General features: G+C 40.7%; 1 annotated feature.

Annotated features, from left to right (window-relative positions):
• Positions 2,884 to 3,178: a silencer, noted in NCBI's record as "tiled region #11224; HepG2 Repressive DNase matched - State 9:DNaseU, and K562 Repressive non-DNase unmatched - State 24:Quies". NCBI's record gives its function as "represses a minimal TATA promoter and a strong SV40 promoter by Sharpr-MPRA in HepG2 and K562 cells {active_cell/tissue: HepG2 | K562}" and the evidence as "EXISTENCE:reporter gene assay evidence [ECO:0000049][PMID:27701403]".

Below are 6,244 nucleotides of genomic sequence, written 5' to 3'. Positions count from 1 at the left end.
TCGTTTGTGTTTGAATAATGGAAAGAGTTAGAGCCCATAAGGGACTTTCTTTTTCAGGCCTTTAGAGGTGGAGGTAGAGAACTTCTGACAGTTTGAGGCAATTTGGAGTTGAGGGTGGGGGCCTTATGTGGACATGGGACATGGTGTGATTGCACAACTCTTGATGGTCATTTGGAGATCTGCTTCAATTTCTGTCTTCTGCATTCAGCAGCTTTAGAGCATAAAGTTGCTAAGAAAAGAGACAGGTCAATAAGTGCAGGGGATTTGTGGATTTCTGCTTTGGAGGCTAAGGGGTTAAATGACCGAGTGATAAGTTTTGTATGAGTGAATCTGTCAGCTGAGCCTGGCCACTGGGCTGCTGCTGTCCTGTTTGAGAGGTGAAGCTTCCCAGCCTGGGTGGCTGCTGGGGCTCCAGGAGAGAGATGCCTTTGTGTTCCCAGGAGTGTTTCCTGCTGTAGCAGGGATTAAGGGTCCTGAAAGCCCAGCGCAATCACAGTGACCCTCTGCCCTCCATCCCCTGGCACCCAACCTCCACTGGGCAGGGGCTGCCCACACATCCACCTCTAAGGTGACCAAATGCCTTGATCCCAAGGGCCACTCCAAATGCCCTTGCTTGGAATTCCTGGACTCCCCCACCACACACCTGGACCCAACTGGCATCTTGCTTTTGCATTTCTCCTGCCAGTTTGCACCCTTTTGAAGAAAGACCACGGAAGGTGAGGGCAAGAGCCTAGATTCTGTAGTCAGACTGGAGCCTTTGCCATTAGCTCTGTGACTGTGGGTAGGTCCCTTACCTTCCCTGGACTTCAATTTCTCATCTGGGTCAGGTACATTGTTGACAGGTCCTTACTAAATATTTGCTGAATGAATTCCCATCTCATAGAATGATTGCAAAAATTACATAAAATAATATGAAACACCAGCTCAGTGCCTGGTACATGGTCAGAGTTCAATAGTTGCTACTATTAACATAATAATATATAATGTATAATAGTGGAGTATATAAGAATATTATTATTATTATTATTTGAGACAGAGACAGTCTCACTCTGTCAACCTGGCTGGAGTGCAGTGGCGGGATCTGCAACCTCCGCCTTCCAGCTTCAAGTGATTCTTGTGCCTCAGCTTCCTGAGCAGCTGGGGTTACAGGCGTGTGCCACCACACCAGGCTAATTTATATTTTTAGTAGAGATGGGGTTTCACCATGTTAACTAGACTGGTCTTTAACTCCTGGCTTCAAGTGATCTGCCTGCCTCAGCCTCCCAAAGCATTGGGATTATGGACATGAGCCATTGCGCCTGGACAGAATATTATTAAGAAACAATATTTGCATATATAATAATAATATCTAATACATATATATAATGCTTACCGCAGGCCAGGTGTTATTCTAAGTACTTTATATATATTAAGTAGTTTATTCCCTTCTGCAACCCTATGAAGTAGGTATTATTATCCCCAATAAACTGAGGCATGAGATATTAAGTGATTTGTCCAATTTCTCATAGCTAGTCAGTGGCACTGCTACAAGTTGAATGAGACAGTCTGGCCCAGAGTTCCTGCTCTTAATTCAAGCAATATGTGTTTTTGAGCACCAAAAGGGGCCTTGCAAGGGCTGGTAACCATCATGAAGTATGAGGCCCATCCTAGACACCCCAGGAGCTTCCAGGTGAGTTGAGCAGATGAGACACAGAAAGACAGCTCAGCACATCAGGGAGTGGCTGTGAAAACTCCTCAAGTGATTCCAATTTGCAGCCACGTATGCCAACCAGTGTCACATTGGTGCTCCTCAGACTTTAATGTGCACTTCTGTGATCTGAGGATCTTGTTATAACACAGATGTTGATAGAGGGGTCTGGGGTGGGGCCTGAGATCTTTTTTCTTTTTCTTCATTGTTTATTGTGATATAATTCACCTATCATAAAATTCAACCTTTTAAAGTATAAGATTCAGTGACTTTTAGTATATTTACAAGGTTGTGACCCCATCACCACCATCTAGACGATCTTCATTACCCGAGAAATCTCATACTTATTGAAAGTACTCCCTGTTTTTCTCTCCTCACAGCCCCTGGCAACCCCAAATCTACTTTCCCTACTGTCTCTATGGATTTGCCTATTCTGAACATTTCCTACAAATGGAATCATATAATATAGGGCCTTCTGTGTCTGGCTTCTTTCACTAAGCATAACGTCTTCAAGGTTTATCTGTGTTGTAGCATGAATTGTCTGATTTTTTTATTACAGCCATCCAAGTGGATGTGAAGTGGGTATGGTTTTGACTTGGATTTCCCTAATGATTAGGATGTTGAGCATCTTTTCATGTGATTATTGGCCATTTGCCTATCTTCTTTAGAGAAATGTCTATTCAAATCCCTTGCTCATTTTAAAATCTTTTTTTTTGTCTTTTTATTACTGAGTTGTAAGTGCTCCTTGGATATCCTGGATACTAGATCATGGTCAGATATTTAATTTGAAAATATTTTCTCCCATTTGTGGGATGTCTGTTCTCTTTCTTGACAGTGTGCTTTGAAGCACAAACTTGATGATGTCCAATTTATGTATTTTTTTCCTTTTGTTGTTTTTACTTTTGGTGTCATATCCAAGAAATCTTGCCTAAACCAAGGTCATAAGGATTTTTAGTTCTGAAAGTTCCCAGATGATGTGATGCTGTTGATTCAGGATCCACAGGTTGAGTAGCAAGGAGCTAAAGCAATTATTTTCTTTTCAGGGACCTGATGAAGTAGGAGAAGCTCCTCTCTTCACATGGCTAGTAATTGACTCTGATCCAATCTGAATCAAATTGGAGTTTTCCTTAGCCTGTCAGGGCTCTACCAGGTGGGGGTGAGCTGCTTTTCCTTTCCTTTTTTCTTTTGGAAGATTTGAATTTAAGAGTTTGGATCAATTTGTAGCACTGGATGTGCTACAAAATCCGGGAGGTAGTGGATGCTTTCAACATACTGGAATGCAGTTTCCTACACTGTAGCATGAATGAATGAGCCTTTGTCTGGAGCTTTGTCCTGTATAGAGAAAGCTTTGTCTTGGTGGCACCTGCTGTCATAGGATTTGAGGCATACGTGGCAGGTATACTAAGAGGTCAGAAACAAATCACAGACCATATGAACAATACAGCTCCATGAGTCTCTGAGAAAAGTCCTGGTTTCAGAGTGCAATACTCTCTTAAATTCTGAGTTTATTAGCAGGAAGGTTAGTCTAGCTTTCTCTGCTTTATTTTATTTGCTTAATTTTATTTTTTAAAATTTGGTTGGTGCTTTAACAAAACTTCTACTTTCAGGTTCAGAGCTCCAAAAATAATACTGAATTGTTGACGTCTCTTTCTGGATGATGGTCCTACTTCTTCTGGACCATTTCCTCTCAGGCTCAGTGGAGGCAACACCCACTGCCAGTCCAGACTCCAGAGAGCCCTCCTCAGGGAGCCTTTTGGCCCAGGGCTAAGCCAGCCTGGCCACTGAACAGGAAAACATTGACATGGACACTCTCTGGAGGGGGAAGTCAGAGTTCATAGCTAGCCCTTTCCTGGCAAAGTCAGAATGAGTCCAGCTCCAGGGCTCCAGGGAGGTGGGGACCATAGAAGGCGAGGCCTCACCAGGCAGGCCAGCCTCCTACCAACCTGGCCTCCTGTGCACATTCTGCTAGAGCCCTGTGGACTTCTCTGAGGTGCTTCTCTTTGGAACATTTGCAGCCTTCACTCAGTTTAATAAGGAAGTGTAGATGCGATTCATGTACTCATCAGTCATTAATTTGCTCCTTGTTTATTGAACCATTACTATGTGCAGGGCTCTGTGCTTGATACCAGAGCTATTACAAAGATTGCCTTTGCCCTCATGAAGTCTGGTGGAGACCGCTATTCTAATTTATGGGTTCAGCAAATATTTATTGAATGCCTACTATATGCCAGGCACTCTTGGTGTTAGGATTAAAATAGTGAAGGGAACAGGCTACGTTTCTGCTTCAGGGCACTTAGAAGTTAGTACACCTCATAGCTAGTGTTAACACAGGACAGTTCCATTAAAAAAAGTGACTGTAAAGTATCTCCTCCTCCTCCTCCTCCTCCTCCTCCTCCTCCTCCTCCTCCTCCTCCTCCTCCTCCTCCTCCTCCTCCTTCTTCTTCTTCTTCTTCTTCTTCTTCTTCTTCTTCTTCTTCTTCTTCTTCTTCTTCTTCTTCTTCCTCGAGAGGGTCTTGCTCTGCTGCTCAGGTTGGAGTGCAGTGGCACAATCATAGCTCAGTGCAGCCTCAAACTCCTGGGCTCCAACAATCCTCTCACCTCAGACTCTCTAGTAGCTGGGACTACAGGCATGCACCACCACACCTGGCTGATTTTCTTATTTTTTGTAGTGATAGGGTCTCATTATGTTGCCCAGGCTGGTCTTGAACTCCCAGCCTCAAATGATCCTTCCACTTTGGCATCCCAAAGTGGTGGGATTACAGGCATGAGCCACAGTGCTGTCTTCATTCATTTATGTACTCATTCACTCACTCACTCATTCATTTGAGAAGTAGTTATCAAGTTCCTTCTGTGTGCCAGTTACCCTGTTAAATGCTGGCGTACAAAAAAAGACCAGGTCCTTTCCTTGTACTTACAGTCTAGTTGGGGAATTCAGCCATTAATCAAATAACAATAGAAACAAATCTGCGATGAATTGTTTGAGGGACACTTATTGCAGATGCTGTCCTTGCCCAACACAGTATATTTCAGGTGACTTTCAGCTACCAGTCACCTGTACCTTCTCTCTTGACACCCTTGGAAGCCATTATCCACAGACTTTCAGGGGGCAGTTGGACACACAAAATTTAATTATTATTATTATTTACTGGCAGGGTCAGGGAATTACGTTCCATGTAATGACTTTTCCAAACGCCTAGAACTCTCTATGGTTGATCTCTGTACCAGAGCTTCACTGCTCTCTGCTCCCTACTTTTAAAATCATTTTGATAGCAATCTTCCTAAAGTAATACATACTTTTCAGATTCTAAAAATGATATATGTTGAGTGTAATTTATCTTGTCTTGATGAGTAGATAAATATTTACAGAACTGTTTTCACCCGATATTTTAGCATCTATTGTTCATCCTTGCCTGAGTCCATTAATCAGTTGAGAGTCGATAATCAGTGATTTTCTAATTCTATCATTCCTTCTGCATTTGGTGGTTGTCATTTTTGTGAAGAAGCGTCCCCATCACATTAATAGATTGGATGTTCCAGAAGAAAATATTTGTAAACTTGGAGACATAGCAATAAAAACTAACCAAAATGAAACACTGAAAGATAAAAAAAAAAGTAAAAAATGGAAATAAGCATCAATGAGCTATCAGAAAACTTCAAGTGGCTAAATATGTGTGTAAGTGAAATCCCCCTAAAAAGAAGGGTGACGAAAAAAGATATTTAAAGAAATAATGTCTGAAAATTTCCAAATTAGATGAAAACTATAAACTGATACATCTAAGATCAATGGAACCTAAGCACAAAAAACGTAAAGAAAACTATACAGAGACATTATAATCAAAATATTCAAAACCAATGTTAAACAGGAAATACCAAAGCAGCCAGAGAAAAAGGAAACGTTATGTACTGAGGAACAAAGAATGACAGCAGCTGTCCTTTCAGAAAAAAATGCAAGTGAGAAGATAGTGGACCAGCAGCAGCTTTAAATTAAGAAAGAAAAGAAGAAGTAAAAAAAATCCTGCTAAACCAGAATTCTATATCCAGCAAAACAAAAAACAAAAACAAAGGTAGAATATAGACTATTTAAGAATTATAAAAGCTGAAAGAATTCATCAGCTGCAGACCTGCACTACAAGAAATATTACAGGAAGTCCTTCAGGCGGAAGGAAGATGGGACCAGCTGGAAAAAGGATATATATAAAGAAAGAAGAACATGGGAAATGATAACTATGTGGGTAAATATAGAAATTTTGTCTTGCTTAAATTTCTTTAAAAGACAATTGTTCAAAAAATAATAGTAATGTAGATGAGAGTTATAACCTAATTAAAAGCATACTGCATGACAGCATAAAATTTAGTATAAAAGCATAAAAGTTAGGACGAAACAAATGGATGTATACTATTGCAAGGTTTTTACACTCTATATGAAGTGGAGTAATATCACTTGAAAGTATACTATAGTAAGTTTTTATTTTTTTAAGTTTTGTCTTTTTATATAAATCTTTTTTTTTTATTATACTTTAAGTTTTAGGGTACATGTGCACATTGCGCAGGTTAGTT

The sequence above is a fragment of the Homo sapiens genome, chromosome 4 (assembly GCF_000001405.40).
Source record: "Homo sapiens chromosome 4, GRCh38.p14 Primary Assembly".
NCBI classification, from domain to species: Eukaryota; Metazoa; Chordata; class Mammalia; order Primates; family Hominidae; genus Homo; species Homo sapiens.
Note: the sequence above shows the minus strand (reverse complement) of the source record. Positions and strands in the feature narration are given on the sequence as shown.